The sequence below is a fragment of the Homo sapiens genome, chromosome X (genome assembly GCF_000001405.40).
Source record: "Homo sapiens chromosome X, GRCh38.p14 Primary Assembly".
Classification (NCBI taxonomy): domain Eukaryota; kingdom Metazoa; phylum Chordata; class Mammalia; order Primates; family Hominidae; genus Homo; species Homo sapiens.
The window spans coordinates 123900370-123917775 of record NC_000023.11 but is presented as its reverse complement, the minus strand read 5'-3'; the positions used below and the strand labels follow the sequence as shown (position 1 = coordinate 123917775).

At 39.9% G+C, this 17406-nt stretch overlaps 1 protein-coding gene across 7 annotated transcripts in view; it reads right to left on the bottom strand.

Moving 5' to 3' along the window:
* The window catches only part of XIAP (X-linked inhibitor of apoptosis), a 54265-nt gene continuing 40662 nt past the window's right edge, over window positions 3804–17406 (bottom strand). For all 7 annotated transcript variants that reach the window (NR_165803.1, NR_037916.2, NM_001378592.1 and 4 more), the window contains 2 exons: window positions 17083–17283; window positions 3804–10788 (listed from right to left, as the gene is read on the bottom strand). Coding sequence is in view for 5 of the 7 variants with exons in the window: in NM_001378592.1 (NP_001365521.1) it covers window positions 10595–10788; window positions 17083–17283 (395 nt within the window). In the remaining 2 variants the exon portion in view is untranslated. The remainder of the gene's footprint in view (window positions 10789–17082; window positions 17284–17406) is intronic.

Here is a 17406-nt window from a genome sequence, read left to right as displayed (position 1 = left end):
CGGTGACTATTCATAGGAGCAATAATAGTGTACTGTAGCCTCGAACTCCCAGGCTCAAGCAATCTTTCTGCTTCAGCTTTCTGAGTAGCTGGAAATACAGGTGCACAAACACTCCAGGGACCCTTATTAACTTTTACCCAGTATTCTTCCAATATTTAGTCATAAGCCTACAATTAACAAGTATAGGCCCAGGCCAGGCGAGGTGGCTCACGCCTGTAATCCCAGCACTTTGGGAGGCCGAGGAGGGCATGAGCTACCGTGTTCGGCCAGTTTTCTTTGGTTCTTTTGTGGCACAATTATTTTTAAAATTTCAGAACTAAAAAAGAATTCAGAACTACTAATTATTATGAATTAGAGAGGCTGACTTCTTCCAACTCTGAAATTCTAGCATTCCAAATTCAAGGCTCATGTTGCACTGAAGCTTTGGCTCTTTAGAAATGCAGGTCTGTTCTGTACAGTCTCAACTTGTTGCTGTTGGGCTAGCACTAATGAGTGAGCCTTCAAATACATAACTCTTTCATTGCTTAACTGGAGGATAGTGTAATGGCAATGAGCAATGTGGGGCTATGTTGAACTCAGCAGGGAAAGGGTTGCAGAAAAATTCCCATTACAAAGTTCAAAGTGTATGCAAGAGTTTTTTTGGAAAAGTAGAATCAGAAGGCATTCACAAGATATTGTATTTTATGCCTTCATATTTTGTAACATGAGAAAATACAACACTGGGCCAGCAATGAGTTAGTTATAGGGAAAAGTAAGAAAGGTGAGGATGATAATCATTTGCAGAGATCTACATCAATTTGATTTATAGGTTTCAGACCCCATATGATATTCCAGTGTTTTTCAAACTTTAGCTGGCACCTATACCACGTAGAGACCTCATTAAAAGATTGCTGGGTTGCACCTTCAGTTTCTGATTCTAGGTTTGAGGTGGGGCCCAGGAATTTGAATTTCTAACAAATTCCCAGGTGATGCACTTTTGAGAACCACTAGGTATCCATATACCATGTAGTTAGTCTACTAACTTTTTTTTTTTTTTTTTTTTTGAGACGGAGTCTCGCTCTGTCGCCCAGGCTGGAGTGCAGTGGCGCAATCTCCGCTCACTGCAAGCTCCACCTCCTGGGTTCACGCCATTCTCCTGCCTCAGCCTCCCGAGTAGCTGGGACTACAGGCGCCCGCCAGTACGCCCGGCTAATTTTTTGTATTTTTAGTAGAGACGGGGTTTCACCGTGTTAGCCAGGATGGTCTCGATCTCCTGACCTTGTGATCTGCCCGCCTCAGCCTCCCAAAGTGCTGGGATTACAGGCGTGAGCCACCGCGCGCCATTAGTCTACTAACTTTTAATAAGTACTATATTTGTTCTACAATTTATAAGCAAACTACCACATGAAATAGTGAAAACGTGGTTTAAAAGTATTTTTGAAACAATAATATCAGTTATGGGGGGTTTTATTTCCCTTAATTTTCAAATATGGAAAAATGGGACATAAAGTTGATTTTTTTTTTTTTTTTTTTTTTTTTTTGAGACGGAGTCTCGTTCTGTTGCCCAGGGTGGAGTGCAGCGGCGCGATCTAGGCTCACTGCAAGCTCCACCTCCCGGGTTCACGCCATTCTCCTGCCTCAGCCTCCCGAGTAGCTGGGACTACAGACACCCGCCACAATGCCCGGCTAATTTTTTTGTATTTTTAGTAGAGACGGGGGTTTCACTGTGTTAGCCAGGATGGTCTCGATCTCCTGACCTTGTGATCCGCCCGCCTCGGCCTCCCAAAGTGCTGGGATTACAGGCGTGAGCCACCGTGCCCGGCCTAATTATTGTTTAAATGTATATTAAAATTCAGCAATAACAGTGGTGAGTTAAAAATTCACACATTTATGCAAATTTTTTGTTATGCATTAGAAATACATAACAAGGCAGCTGGGCGCGGTGGCTCAAGCCTTTAATCCTAGCACCTTGGGAGGCCGAGGTGGGCGGATCACCTGAGGTCAGGAGTTCGAGACCAGCCTGACCAACATGGAGAAATCCCATCTCTACTAAAAATACAAAAAATTAGCCGGGCATGGTGGCACATGCTTGTACTCTCAGCTACTCAGGAGGCTGAGGCAGGAGAATTGCTTGAACCCGAGAAAGAAAGAGAGAGAGAGAAGGAAGGAAGGAAAGAAGGAAAGAAAGACATAACAAGGCTGGGCACGCGGTGCCTCATGTCTGTAATCCCAGCACTTTGGGAGTCTGAGGCGGGCAGATCGCTTGAACCCAGGAGTTCAAGACCAGCCTGGGCAACATGGTGAAACCCCATCTCTATAAAACATTTAAAAAAAGAAATATATAATGAGGTAATTACAGGACAAATGACATTATGTCTAGGATTTACTTTGGAGTATTGGGGTGAGCAAGTGGAAGGAGTGCTAGATGAAACAGGACTGATAAAATGTCAAATTGTTGAGGATAAGTGATGAATATCGTGGAGTCATTATGCTTTCTACTTTTGTATTAAGTTTAAAATTTTCTGTAATAGAAAGCTTTGAAAATTCACATCTTCAATATCAAAGTTTAGTTGACACGTAAGAAAAAATTTGGACTGTGTTTAAGACATGGTTATTAAGGTTTATCTCAGACAACAGTGCAGTGATAACACTGTCAAAGATTAGATAACCAGTCCCTACGTAGACTGGGCCTGAAATACAACTTAATTCAGGAATCTCCATTGTGGGCAGGAACTTCTAAATTTCTTTCTGGCCGGACATGGTGGTTCACGCCTGTAATCCCAGCACTTTGGGAGGCCAAGGTGGGCGGATCATTTGAGGTCAGGAGTTCCAAACCAGCCTGGTCAACATGGTAAAACCCCGTCTCTACTAAAAATACAAAAATTAGGCTGGGCACAGTGGCTCACATCTGTAATCCCAGCACTTTAGGAGGCCGAGGCAGGTGGACCACCTGAGGTTGGGAGTTCAAGACCAGCCTGGTCAAAATGGTGATACCCCGTCTCTACTAAAAATACAAAAATAGCCGGGCATAGTTGCGTGCACCTGTAATCCCAGCTACTCGGGAGGCTGAAGCAGAAGAATCACTTGAACCCGGGAGGTGGAGGTTGCAGTGAGCTGAGATTGTGCCACTGCACTCCAGCCTGGGCGACAGAGCAAGACTCCGTATCAAAAAGAAAAAAAAAATTACCCGGCATGGTGGTGGGTGCCTGTAATCCCAGCTACTCCAGAGGCTGAGGCAGAATTGCTTGAGCCTGGAGGTGGAGGTTGCAGTGAGCAAAGATCGCGCCGCTGCATTCCAGCCTGCGAGACAGAGTGAGACTCCATCTCAAAAAAAAAAAAAAAAAGAAAGAAAAAAATTCTTTTTGCCAAAGGTTCTTTATTCCCTCATTCTTTATCCCACCAGATTGCTCACAGCTTCTGAAACTCACTGGCAGTTGCTTCCGCAAACTCACAAATATCCTTCCTTGCTGCCTGCCTCAAAGGGGCAGTGGTTTTTTAGGTTCATTGCTATTTGCCTGTTCAAGTTCTGTTATAGTGAGTATACTATCTCCTGAGACAACCAGGCATATCTTTTTGGAGGGAGTGGTGTTACCATTGTTCATATATATATACATTTTAAAAATTGACATTTCATGCACTTATAGAATTCCATACATTAATGTGAAAACTGATGTCTTTTCTTTTAAAACATGGCATGACCTAATGTGTACCTTACGCCTACGTACAATGGCATAAGATATATTTAGGAGGTTACATTGCAGTATTTTTAAGAGGGTGATTTTATTTTTTCTAAGAAAGTGAAACAAATACAAGGTAGTATGATATAATTTTAAAGAATAGTATTTTATTGAATACGTTTTATTCACAGAAAAATAAGCTTTAATCTACAATGAATGCCAGATTATACAGCAGAAAGCAATTTTCTTAGTTTTCCACACAGAAAGGTTCTAAGTGAAAAAAACCATAAAATTATATTCACAAATATAGTACTCTGTCTCAAAACATTTCACATGATTATTCACAATACTAATACAATTAGATCAGTCAGTCAGGTTAAAATATAACAGTAATGAAAAAAATGCAAAATCTAACATAAATTACATTAAAACCCTTGTTACATCAAACCAAAACTGCAAATTTCTTACTAAATCCAGAAAAATGGTAACATATATAGTAATTTAAAATATTACATTAATGATACAGAATAAGAAAGTGGTAAACTCCAAAAATCTATAGGCATATCTGCAAACTTCAGATTCAAAGTAGAATCTGACCACCCAAACATTAATGTAGCATTTGTCTAATTTTTTTGTTTTGTTTTGTTTTTGAGAGGGAGTCTCACTCTATCACCTAGGCTGGAGTGCGGTGGCGCCATCTTGGCTCCCTGCAACCTCCGCCTCCCAGGTTCAAGCAATTCTCCTGCCTCAGTCGCTCTAGTAGCTGGGACTACAGGCATGCGCCACCATGCCCAGCTATTTTTGTATTTTTGTACAGACAGGGTTTCAGCATGTTGGCCAGGCTGGTCTCCAACTCCTGACCTCAGGTGAGCCGCCTGCCTCAGCCTCGGAAACTGCTGGGATTACAGGCGTGAGCCACCGTGCCCGGCGCCATTTGTCTACTTTGAAGATACAATTGTCCCTTGCTATCCCTGGGGTTTTGGTTTCACGACCCCCTAGGACCTGAGGACGCTTAAGTCCCTTAGATAAAATCACACAAGGCCGGGAGCAGTGGTTCACACCTGTAATCCCAGCACTTTGTGAGGCCGAGGCAGGCAGATCACCTGAGATCAGGAGTTCGAGACCAGCCTGGTCAACACCGCGAAACCAGTCACTACTAAAAAATACAAAAATTAGCCGGCCGTGGTGGCTCACGCCTGTAATCCCAGCACTTTGGGAGATGAATCACTTGAGGTCAGAAATTCAAGACTAGCCTGGCCAACATGGTGAAACCCTGTCTCTACTAAGAATACAAAAAAAATTAACTGGGCACCGTGGAGCATGCCTGTAGTCCCAGCTGCTTGCGAGGCAGAGTTTGCCATGAGCCAAGATTGTGCCATTGCACTCCATCCTGGGCAACACAGTGAGACTGTTTAAATTAAAAAAAAAAAAAACAGTATTTGCATATAATGTATGCACATCTTCATCACATACTTTATTTATTCTGAGACAAGGTCTTGCACTGTCACCCAGGCTGGAATGCAGTGCCATGATCATAGCTCAATGCAGCCTCTGCCTCCCAGACTCAAGCGATCCTCCCACCTCAGGCTCCGGAGTAGCCAGGACTACAGGCACACACCACCATGCCCAGCTAATTTTTGTATTTTTTGTAGAGACAGGGTTTTGCCTTTTGTCCAGGCTGGCATCATATACTTTAATTCATGTCCAGATGACTTTAATACCTAATACAATATATTAGGTTGGTTTAAAAATAATTGCTTTTTTTTTTTTTGCATTTTTGCACCAACCTTAATGCTATGTAAATAGTTGTTATACTGTTGCTTAACAACAGTATGACAATTTTGGCTTTTTCTTTGTATTATTTTGTATTTTTTTTTTTTATTGTGTGGTCTTTTTTTTTTTTCTCAGTGTTTTCAATTCCTCCTTGGTTGAATCCATGGATGCAAAACCCACAGATATGAAGGGCTGGCTATATATGCATTGATGATTGTCCTATTATATTAGTTATAAAGTGTCATTTAATATGTAGTGAAAGTTATGGTACAGTGGAAAGAGTAGTTGAAAACATAAACATTTGGACCTTTCAAGAAAGGTAGCTTGGTGAAGTTTTTCACCTTCAAACTATGTCCCAGTCAGGGCTCTGCTACTAATTAGCTATAATCTTTGCACAAATTACATCACCTTTGAGTCTCAGTTGCCTCACCTGTAAAATGAAAGAACTGGATACTCTCTAAGGTCACTTCCAGCCCTGTCATTCTATAACTCTGTTATGCTGAGGAAGAAATTCACATTGTGTTAACTGTATGAGTCAAACTGAAAATGATTATTGAAGTGGGAAAAAGCCAATTGCTTCTCTTAGAAAGCTCAACTAAATTTGAGAAGAATAATCTTTTCAATTTTTTAAGAATTTAAATATTTTTAAGGGTTTGACCTATTTATTTAGAGATGGGGTCTCACTCTGTCACCCAGACTGGAGTACAGTGGCACAATCATAGCTCACTGCTGCCTCAAATTCATGGGCTCAAGTGATCCTCCTGCCTCTGCCTCCAGAGTAGCTGCGACTATGGGCATGTGCCACCACGCCTGGCTAACATTTGTATTGACCTATTTATTTATTGTGATTTATATCTTTTTTTTTTTTTGAGACAGAGTTTTGCTCTTGTTGCCCAGGCTGGAGTGCAATGGCACGATCTTCGCTCACCACAACCTCCGCCTCCTGGGTTCAAGCGATTCTCCTGCCTCAGCCTCCCAAGTAGCTGGGATTACAGGCATGAGCCACCACGCCCAGCTAATTTTGTATTTTTAGTAGAGACGGGGTTTCTCCATGTTGGTCAGGCTGGTCTCGACCTCCCGACCTCAGGTGATCTGCCCGCCTCGGCCTCCCAAAGTGCTGGGATTACAGGCATGAGCCACCGCGCCCAGCTGATTTATATCTTATCTATGAGAAACACCAAAAACTATGAGTAAGCATCACTGAGTTATCATGTAAGAATTTTTTCTAAGTTTTAGCCCAAATTTCCAGGTCAAGACAAACCCACAGAGAGGTAAAAGGGTATTAGGATGGGAGTTCATATTTACAGCAGGAACTTTACATACATGGTCTCCTTGAGCTCTTGCAACCTTGTAAGATAAGTATTATTTTCCTTTCACAGATGAATAAACTGCTACCCTTTTTTTAACAAGTAGATTTGACTAAAAAGAACTATGTCAAATATTGCTTCCCATTTTCTTATTTCTTTTTTTTTTTTTTTTGAGACAGAGTCTTGCTCTGTTGCCCAGGCTGGAGTGCAGTGGCGAGATCTCGGCTCACTGCAAGCTCTGCCTCCCGGGTTCACACCATTCTCCTGCCTCAGCCTCCCGAGTAGCTGGGACTACAGGCGCCCGCCACCACGCCCGGCTAATTTTCTGTTTTTTAGTAGAGACGGGGTTTCACCGTGTTAGCCAGGATGGTCTCGATCTCCTGACCTCGTGATCCACCTGCCTCAGCCTCCCAAAGTGCTGGGATTACAGGCGTGAGCCACTGAGCCCAGCCCCATTTTATTTCATTTCTCTAACAGCAATGATATATATACATCCCATAGTATATCCTACTGATATACTAGCCCCTTTCCCCATTCAACACCTGTGTAATCAGGAAATAAAACAATGATTCGGGTTTAAAGGGTATATCATGTGAAACTAATGCTGGGGCGGTAGTCTCCATTCATAGTTCAAAATACAAATTTTATCCACTAAAATGGAAACACAAAAAACAACTACTGAAATGTAAATAATATAACAACAAAAATAACAAAATATCATAATACACAGGGCCAAATCACATTATATACACTCACTACACCCACTCTACCCTACCTTAGCCCGTAATCAAAGGGACAGGGGAAAAAACCAAATGTAGCAGGAAAGGCAATATAAAGCTATTAATTAATTAACTGGAATTTAGTTTGTAAATGCTAAAACCAGTTCTCAAAAATTAAGACAATGCTTTTGATCAGCAGACTAAATTATTACAAATAAAGATAAGTACTTATTGCAAAACTACTTGAATCTTTGCATGACTAAAATGTAAAATAAGTGGTGACTTGAAATCCTAGAGTGAACTTTATACAGAAAAGGAATAGTCTACATGTAGACACTGAGAACTCTTGGGAGGGGGAAAAGATTTGGATATGGCTATAGTTTTGACTTTGCAAATGATCAATTTTTGCGGAATTAGATGGAAAAGATCCGGTGCTTTTTATAGTTCAAACACAGACAAATGCTGTTAAGTCTCCAAAAATTTGATTAGAAGTTGGAGTGCTGAGTGATTTTAAGAACCTGAAGCAACAGCATTTCTAAACAATTCTTAAAATAAACTTGTTAGCCACATCAGCGTTGTGCATTAAATTTCACAACTCATGGAGAGGAAGAAAAAAAGTCTTGCTTAACTCTAAACATACAAGTTTTAGAAGAATTTTAATGAAGTGCGGCTCCCAGAACAGGAAAAGCCTTATGTTAAAACAATTCAGTCCTTGAGTCCTTGGCTAACAACTAGATTGAACTACCTACCTGACTTGGAAGTGAAGTGTCCTGGAAAACATATTTTAAAAATTTTAACACTTTTCTCCCCTTGTAGAAAACTTTAAATTTAAAGTCTAGACTATACAGACCAAATTCAAGTTAATGACTATATAACCAAACTAAGTGGCAGACAGTGCAAAGGTGAAGAACTGAGGATTTACATACTAAAACAGAAACAGGGCAGTCATTATTTAATTTTTAAAACTCTCATTTAAATTTGCAATGTTTTAGCCGGGCGTGGTGGCTCAAGCCTGTAATCCCAGCACTTTGGGAGGGCAAGGCGAGTGGATCTCTTGAGGTCAGGAGTTTGATACCAGCCTGGCCAACATGGTGAAACCCCGTCTCTACTAAAAATAAAAAAAAATTAGTCGGGCATGGTGGCACCTGCCTGTAATTCCAGCTACTCAGGAAGCTGAGGCACGAGAATCGCTTGAACCCAGAAGGCGGAGGTTGCAGTGAGCAGAGATCACTCCACTGCACTCCAGCCTGGGTGACAAGCAAGACTCCATCTCAAAAAGAAAATTAAATAAATAAAATAAATTTGCAATGTTTTAAATGAATATCACTTAAAGTAGTAATCAACAGAAGTTAGGAGAACATAACAATACTCTTTCTCTTAGAAAGTACAACAAAAATATAATTTTTTACAGTTTTACTCTCAAACTTTCCTCTGTAGTAACATGCCTTACTCACCTCTACAATAGGTTTGTTGTGAGAATCTTGTAATGTAAACCCTGGACGTTCTATGAAGCATTTTTAAACTTCTAGTTTATACCCTACTGATTCTTATTCAAGTGTTTTTTAAAAAATATTTAAACAACTATTCTTCTTTTCTTGCCAATATTTTTATAATTTCCAAGAGGTTTTAAGGATCTTGAGAGAACATTTATTTCAGAAGTATCTACTACTATTACTAGCCAAGAAAACAAATGTAGGTAGAGGAAAGACTTAACATTTTGTCCTATATACATCTTAATCATCCTAACGGTAAAAACTCACATGAAACTTTAAGATACAAGATGATATGAGAATCTCAACATGGAAAGCTGTCACTATAACTACAAGCAGTGTACAAACATGCTTCTACTTTTACCTACATAAGCTGACAGATGTTTAAAATACTGAGTTAACAAAGATCTTTTAGTAAAGTGACTTAGGCAGGCTTAAACTAGCAAGGATTAAGGATGAATCCTTACTAATTAATTGGAAGATCTGAGACATATTTTATATTTCATTTTACAAAATCAGAAATACTTATTTTGAAACAAGATAAGACATGGTCTACCTGTCAAAAAACTACCACTCAGAAATATTTTTCATCCACAAAGCAGGAAAAACATAAAATCATTTACATTTCACATTGGCACCAAAAAGGTTAACTGCCCTGCCTTCTTGGATTAGAAAAACTAAAGCTGAGTGATAAGTAGTTTTGCAGGCGTTTGAACATGCCTAAGCCTTTAAATCAGCAAAATACTTTCTAAAAATTCTGATTACAAAAGTAATACATACTTATAAAAAATTCGAACAGAACAAAATGAAAAAAGTAGAAAGTGAAAAGGCCCCTATAAAACCCCTCTGGGGCCCCTCCCCCAATCCCCCCCTCCCCGAAGAGAAACCACATTTAACAGTTTGGTGTATATCTTTCCAAATCTTTTGTTCTATGCATATTAAAAACATACATACTTTGATCTGGCTCAGACTATACATAGTGTTTTGCCACTTGCATTTTACACTTAACATATCTTTGACATCTTTCCATGTCAGTACATGTTGGCTCGATAGTATTCTATCATTAAATACGCTTTCAAAAATGGCAAATCACTTTAAAAAAATAATTCGCACAAGTACGTGTTTATAACTTTAAAAGAAAATGGACAGAATCCTAAAACACAACAACCAACCTCTAAAAACAATCTCTATCTTTCCACCAGCATGGAACAATTTATTCCTTTTTCACACAAAACAAATTATGTGATTGGGGAGATTAACTCTAATCTCCACATTTATATACAGAAAGCTCCATTTGTTAAGCCTATCTGAAAAGAATAAAAAATCCAGATGATTAATTCACTTACACTTAGAAATTAAATCAGTATACTATGAATACACATTGTGTTCAGTTATAGTATGATGCTTCTTATTCTTAGTCTATGGTTTCAATTAAATAACAGTAAAAAAAATGGATAATACAGCTAATACCCTGAAAAATCAAGAAATTCAAAGATTATATTGCCAACTAAAACACTGCCATGTACATTTTTTTTCCTACTTGGTAGCAAATGCTAATGGAATTCAATCCTGATTACTTAAAGTCAGTTCACATCACACATTCAATCAGGGTAATAAGAACAACATAACATGCCTACTATAGAGTTAGATTAAGACATAAAAATTTTTTGCTTGAAAGTAATGACTGTGTAGCACATGGGACACTTGTCAACTGCTTCAGCACATTGTTTACAAGTGACTAGATGTCCACAAGGAACAAAAACGATAGCAATATTTCTATCCATACAGATTTTGCAAAGCTTCTCCTCTTGCAGGCGCCTTAGCTGCTCTTCAGTACTAATCTCTGCAAAAAGAGAAAATAATTATGCTAGTTTTAGACTCTCTTAGTTGTTTAAATTCATTGAAAACATTTATTGAGCCCCTACTACGTGCCAAGCACCCAACAAGTGCCGGGAGATATGAGGATGACTCACCCGTGGCATCTGCTCTTAAATAGCTCACACGCTAGTGGGAGAGGATGTAAGATGAGGCTAGGAGGTTAAGCACAAAGTACAAAGTGATAAGTGCTATAATAAAGTTATGTACAAAGTGCTCTGGGACAAGATGAGAAAACAAGTTCTTCTGCTCAGGCTAGTTGGAGAAGGCTTCACAGGTTGGCAGTGGCTGGATCGGGGGAGGAGGGAAGTGGAGGAGTGACATTTAAGCATGGACAGTCATTTGCCAGGCAGAAAAACAAGGGTTAGGTAAAAGGAGCAGCATATGGAAAGGTCACGACTAATTCCAGAAATAGAGGGATGGATTTGAGGGACACTTCTGAAGTGGGACAAGTAGGATTGGGTGACTGACTGGATATGAGGGCTGAAGAAGAAAGACAAACTAAAGTTGATTACAAGATTGCTAGCTTGGCTGACAAGGATATGGTGATGCCAATAAGAAATATAAAAGGAGGTACAGGTTTGGGATCTTCAGATATTTTTGAGGTGTTTTCAGGACACCCATATAAAAATAACCAGTAGGCAACTGAAGAGTCAAATCTTGAGGTCAGGAGAAGTCAGGGCTAGAGATAGAGATCTGGATGTCATCAGCATATAGGTGGCACTGAAGTACTTGCTTAATTCAGCCTTTCCCAAAATAGTTTTGTGAAATGTGAATAAATATGCCACAAAACATGTGTTTCATGGTCACATATAACAATAATGACAACAGCAGCAGCAGTTACCAGTAATATTGCATAAATAGTACGTGCTAGGCACTATTCCAAATGCATTACATATTTTAACTATACCTTTGTGATCACAACTATTTATTTATTTTAGCATCTTTATAATCATTATGTACCAGTGGTTTCCAAATATGGCCTCACATGAGAATAACCTGGGGCATTTTTAAACCACGGATTTCTGGGCTCCATTCACAGAATCTAAAATTTCTGGGGTTGGGCACACTGGCGTTTGAGAACCACTGTCATCCAGGACAGGGCAGTACAGTACAATATAGGACAGTATAGTCTATGTTCCCTCTTAGAAATGTACAAGGCATTTCCCTATTTAACTATGGGGTTCCTTTTTCATGGCATCCTTTTAACATCCTGCTGAACACTATTCTGAAAACATGTTTGGAAAACAATAGTTTATTCAAGAAATACTTACTGGACACTTAACTAGGTTCTAGGTACTAGGGATACAATTAACAAATACATAAACCTCAGGCCCCCAATAGTTCATAGACAAGTAAAGAACACAAGCAAACAGGAAAGTATAAATGGTATGATGACAAAGGTAATTACAATGTGTTATGAAGAGCACAGGAAGGGTGTGTGTGCGTGTGTGTGCATGCATGCATAAACGAAGGCCTCCTGGAGGAAATTATACCTAAAACTGGGTACAAAAGAATGAATTAGGAGTTTACTAGGAGAAGGAGGCCTTGGGGGATAAGGGCAATGGGAGAAAAGTGTTTTAGGCAAAGGAAACAGCATAAACAAGCTCCAAGGAGAGAGACAGAACGTGGCCTACAAGTGCACAGGCAAAGCTTGGGCACAGAATTTGAGAAAATAGCATGAGATGAGGCTACAAAAGGGTGCCTGATCATGAAAGATTAGGCGAGCCACGTAAAGGAGTTTGGACTTGATCCCAAGGGTCCTGGGAGGCAGTGAAGGGTTTTAAACTAGAGACAGATATGATCACATCTATGTCTCAGAAAGGTTTCTCTGGCTAGGGGGTAGAGGAAAGGATTGTTTAATCTCTTTCTTCTTAAAAAGTACCCTCTTGGGCATAATAAAAACTATAGGCTCAAACATGGAATGCATCAGAGATAAGAAGATAAAGCACTTACCCTTAAGAAGCTTGGTCTAATGGGCAGGGCAGAAACCAGTCCCAAAATAGTGTAAAAAGCAAAATGCTCAGCCAGGCCTGGTGGCTCACGCCTGTAATCCCAGCACTTTGGGAGGCTGAGGCGGGCAGATCATTTGAGGTCAGGAGTTCAAGACTAGCCTGGCCAACATGGTGAAACCCCATCTCTACTAAAAATACACACAAAAAAAATTAGCTGGGTGTGGTGGCGCATGCCTGTAATCCCAGCTACTCGGGAGGCTGAGGCAGCAGAATCGCTTGAACCTGAGAGATAGAGGTTGCAGTGAGCTGAGATTGTGTGCCACTGCACTCCAGCCTGGGCGACAGAGCGAGACCCTGTCTCAAGAAAAACAAAACAAAACAAAATAAAACAAAACAAAACTCTACCAGCACCAGGAGTAGATAAGAAGGAGCTCCTAACTCTGCTGTGGGTGCGGGAGAAAACTTGAAAGAAGTGACTTCTGAGCTGAACCTTGAAACATGAGTTCACAAAGTAGATTCAGGGAGTTGGGGGTAGAGTGGGGAATGGGACTAGGTATACAGATAGAGAAAACGTACTCAAGGCAGAGGAAAAAATACAAGTAAAGAAACGGCACTATAAGCTGATTTATATTATAAGAAAGCATCAACACCAAAAAAAGTCAGAATGAAGTGTGTATTTCATGCCAAAAAAATCAAAAGGAGAACAAGTAATTTCCACATTACTTTTAGATGTAATGCTACAACGAGTTAAAAACAAACAAACAGGCTGGGCGCGGTGGCTCACGCCTATAATCCCAGCTCTCAGGGAGGCAGAGGCGGGAGGATAGCTTGAGCCCAGGAGTTCGAGACCTGCCTGAGCAATATAGTGAGACCCCGTTCTCCACAAAAAGGAAGAAACAAACAAACAAACAAAGCAACAACAATACTGACACCTAGAGTAGTCAAATTTATAGAGACAAAAAGTAAAATGGTAGTTGCCAGGGGTTGGGAAGAGAGGGAATGGGGAGTTGTTTAATGAACATGTTTTTATTATTATTATTATTTTTTAAAGATAGGGTCTTGCTCTGTATCCCAGGCTGGAGAGCAGTGGTGCAATCACAGCTCATTGCAGCCTTGAGCTCCTGGTCTCAAGCAATCCTCCTGCCTCAGCCTCCCAAGCAGCTGGAACTACAGGCGTGTGCCACCACGCCTGGCTGTTTAATGGATGTAGAGTTTCGGTTTTGCAAGATGAAGAGTTCTGGAGGTTGACTGTGCAACAATGTAAATGTACTTAACACTACGGAACCATACACTAAAAATGGTTAAGATGGTAAACTGTATGTGTATTTTATCACAATTTTTTAAAATCTAAAAAAAACAAAAAACAAAACAAAAAAAAAAACTGAAACAAACCCCAAAACACTGGACCAGAAGTCAGGAAATCTGAATTCTATTCCCAACTATCGGCGTGATCCTAGGCAACAGCCCATCTGTACTTCAGGTTCCCAATTAAGGTCATAAAAGTTATAAAATGGGCTGGGTGCAGTGGTTCATGCCTGTAATCCCAGCACTTTATGAGGCCGAGGCGGGCAGATCACCTGAGGTTGGAAGTTGGAGACCGGCCTGACCAACATGGAGAAACCCCGTCTCTACTAAAAATACAAAATTAACAGGGTGTGGTGGCACATGCCTATAATCCCAGCTACTCAGGAGGCTGAGGCAGGAGAATTGCTTGAACCCGGGAGGTGGAGGTTGCAGTGAGCCAAGATTGCACCATTGCATTCCAGCCTGGGCAACAAAAGTGAAACTCCGTCTCCAAAAAAAAAAAAAAAAAAAAAAAATTATAAAATAATCTTTAAGGTTCCTTTGGTTCTGATTGTTTGTGATACCATATCATCTCATTTTTTTCTATATTATTTCATCCTTGTATAAAGCCACTAACTTGAGATGGTGATATTCTGGGCATAGATCTTTTCCCCTCAGACCAGTAGTTTACCACTGGCAATTACTTCCCTCTTGGCTTAAAGGTAACTACTGGATTCTACATACTTCTCTACAGCGCCTTTCCCCTTCTCCTCCCCACAAAGCCCTCTTCTAGGTCAGAAGGTTACTGGCACATGAGCAATAAAGGCTAGATAACTTTTGATGTTATTTGCTAATATTTGTAATTATTTAAAACCTCTTCTAGAATAAACTGATGTTATTCATTTTACTATTAGAGCAGATTCATATGGAAAGACAGATAAGAAATGAATATGGGTTATTTGATTTTTATATTATATACAGTAATATATATACACATAAAGATTAAAATAAGTACTTTAGTACATATACTAAATAAAGGGCTTTATCTTACACTACATAATTTTTTCAAAGAAAGAAAAAAAGATACTGATTCGGTACTATTTTTACAAGACCTTTTACTAGGGCATTCTCTGTTACACAGCCATTGGCAAAAAAGTTTAGCACTAAATCTAGGATTTCTCAGTAAGTGACAATGTTATATTTTCTCTAATAACCCTCACCTGCTTCACTTCAGTTAGCCCCATCCTTATTTTATATAAAATTAAAAGATTCTTAGTGCCAGTCTTTCCTCATCAGCTTTTGGGAAGACAAATAGGCAGCAGTCCCAGCATGAGTAGAGAGCCTGTATCAATTACTTGCCTCTCAATTTAGTGAGACTGAGGAGAGTTCAAATGAATTCCAACCCTTAGGCTCTCCTTCCCACACCATCCTAGTTTGTAGTCTCAGTGATAATATGAGCGCCCATTGACTCCTGTTAGATAGAGAAAAGACACTCTCCCTAATGCACAGTCTCTTGATCTCTTCCTATTACAACCTGCTAAACCCTTCTGCTGCAGATACATTAAGGTTTGAAAACTAACAATTTATGGCCAAACAATTAAGCGCGTGTTTAAGATGCAGGAAAAAAATGACACAATTGCTTGTGTTTCTGTTATAGTAGAAAAATTCCAGCCCGGCCAACTTGGCGAAACCCTGTCTCTACTGAAAATACAAAAAATTAGCCGGGCGTGGTGGCACATGCCTGTAATTCCAGCTACTCGGGAGGGTGAGGCAGGAGAATCGCTTGAGCTGGGGAGGCGGAGGTTGCAGTGAGCCAAGATCGTGCCATTGCACTCCAGCCTGGGCGACAGAGTGAGACTCCGTCTTAAAACAAATAAAAAATTAAAAAAAGAAAGAAAGATGACAATTAAAGGGTTTATTTTACCACCACCAAGATAAGTGGAGCTTGTGTAAGTTTTAAATAAATGCATCTATAAGGAAAAAATTGGAAGCTTTCCATTGATTCTTACATCAATGAATATAATTTTAAATATCATTAATGTTCATACTGTTTCATAACTTATACGATTATCTGAATAGTGTTTCAAAAGCACTTGAAATATCTTAAAGATCAAAAGGATCTTAAATGCGTCAAAAATAAGTAAACGTTTAAGTTTTTTTAGCAGTAGGAGAATTCTCATCTTTTTGGAGGGAGGATGGTCAAGAGCTTAGAGAACTATTACAGGTAAAGTACCCAAAAGTGTACTCAGTTTGAAACTTCTTCTTTAACCTTCGATGTTGTTGGCAAGCACTACAGTGTCCATCATCCTTAAAGGAGAGATACATATATTTTGAGACAAGATCTTGCTCAGTTGCCCAGGCCGAAGTGTAGTGGCATGATCATGGCTCACTGCAGCCTTGACCTCCCTGGCTCAGGTGATCTTCCCCGCTCAGCCTCCCAAGGAGCTGGGACTACAGGCACACACCACCATGCCCGGCTAATTTTTGTATTTTTTGTAGAGACAGTTTCATTATGTTGTCCAGGCTGGTAGAACTCATATTTTTAATCTTTTTTCCATGATTAATGTAATGATATTTGGAAATGAGGCCTTTGGGAAGTAATTAGGTTTAGATGAGGTCATGAAGATGAGACCCCCCCATGATGGGATTAGTGTTCCTAAAAGTAGAGGAAAAGAGACCAGAGTACTTGCTCCATCTTGTCCCATCCAATCCCAACCCATGCCATGTGAGGACACAGTGAGAAGGCAGCCATCTGCAAGGTAGGAAGAGGGCCCTCATCAATAACCAAATCAGCCAGCACCTTGATTTTGGAGCCTCCAAAACTGTCAGAAATAAGTCTGTTGTTTAAGACACCTAGTCTATGGAATTTTATTATAGCAGCTTGAGCAGACTAACACACAGCATTAAGGTTACGTTTAAAAAATGTCCATATCCACCTGTCCCAGCCTCCCAAAGTGCTGGGATTACAGGTATGAGCCACCACATCTGGCCCTTTCTTGCTTTTTAAAAACAGCAATGCATACCTTTCTGTAATGAAGTCTGACTTGACTCATCTTGCATACTGTCTTTCTGAGCATTCACTAGATCTGCAACCAGAACCTCAAGTGATTTATAGTTGCTCCCAGATATCTGAATTTTTTCCTCCATTATTTTCTTAATGTCCTTGAAACTGAACCCCATTCGTATAGCTTCTTGTACCATAGGATTTTGGAAGATGGTATCATCTGAAATAAAAATTGGTGAGGAAAAAGAACATAGAATTTAAACAATTATTTTCATTATCACAACTCAATAGCAAAATATAGTTAAAATGAAAAAATTAAGGAGCAAGCGAAAGAATAAAAACA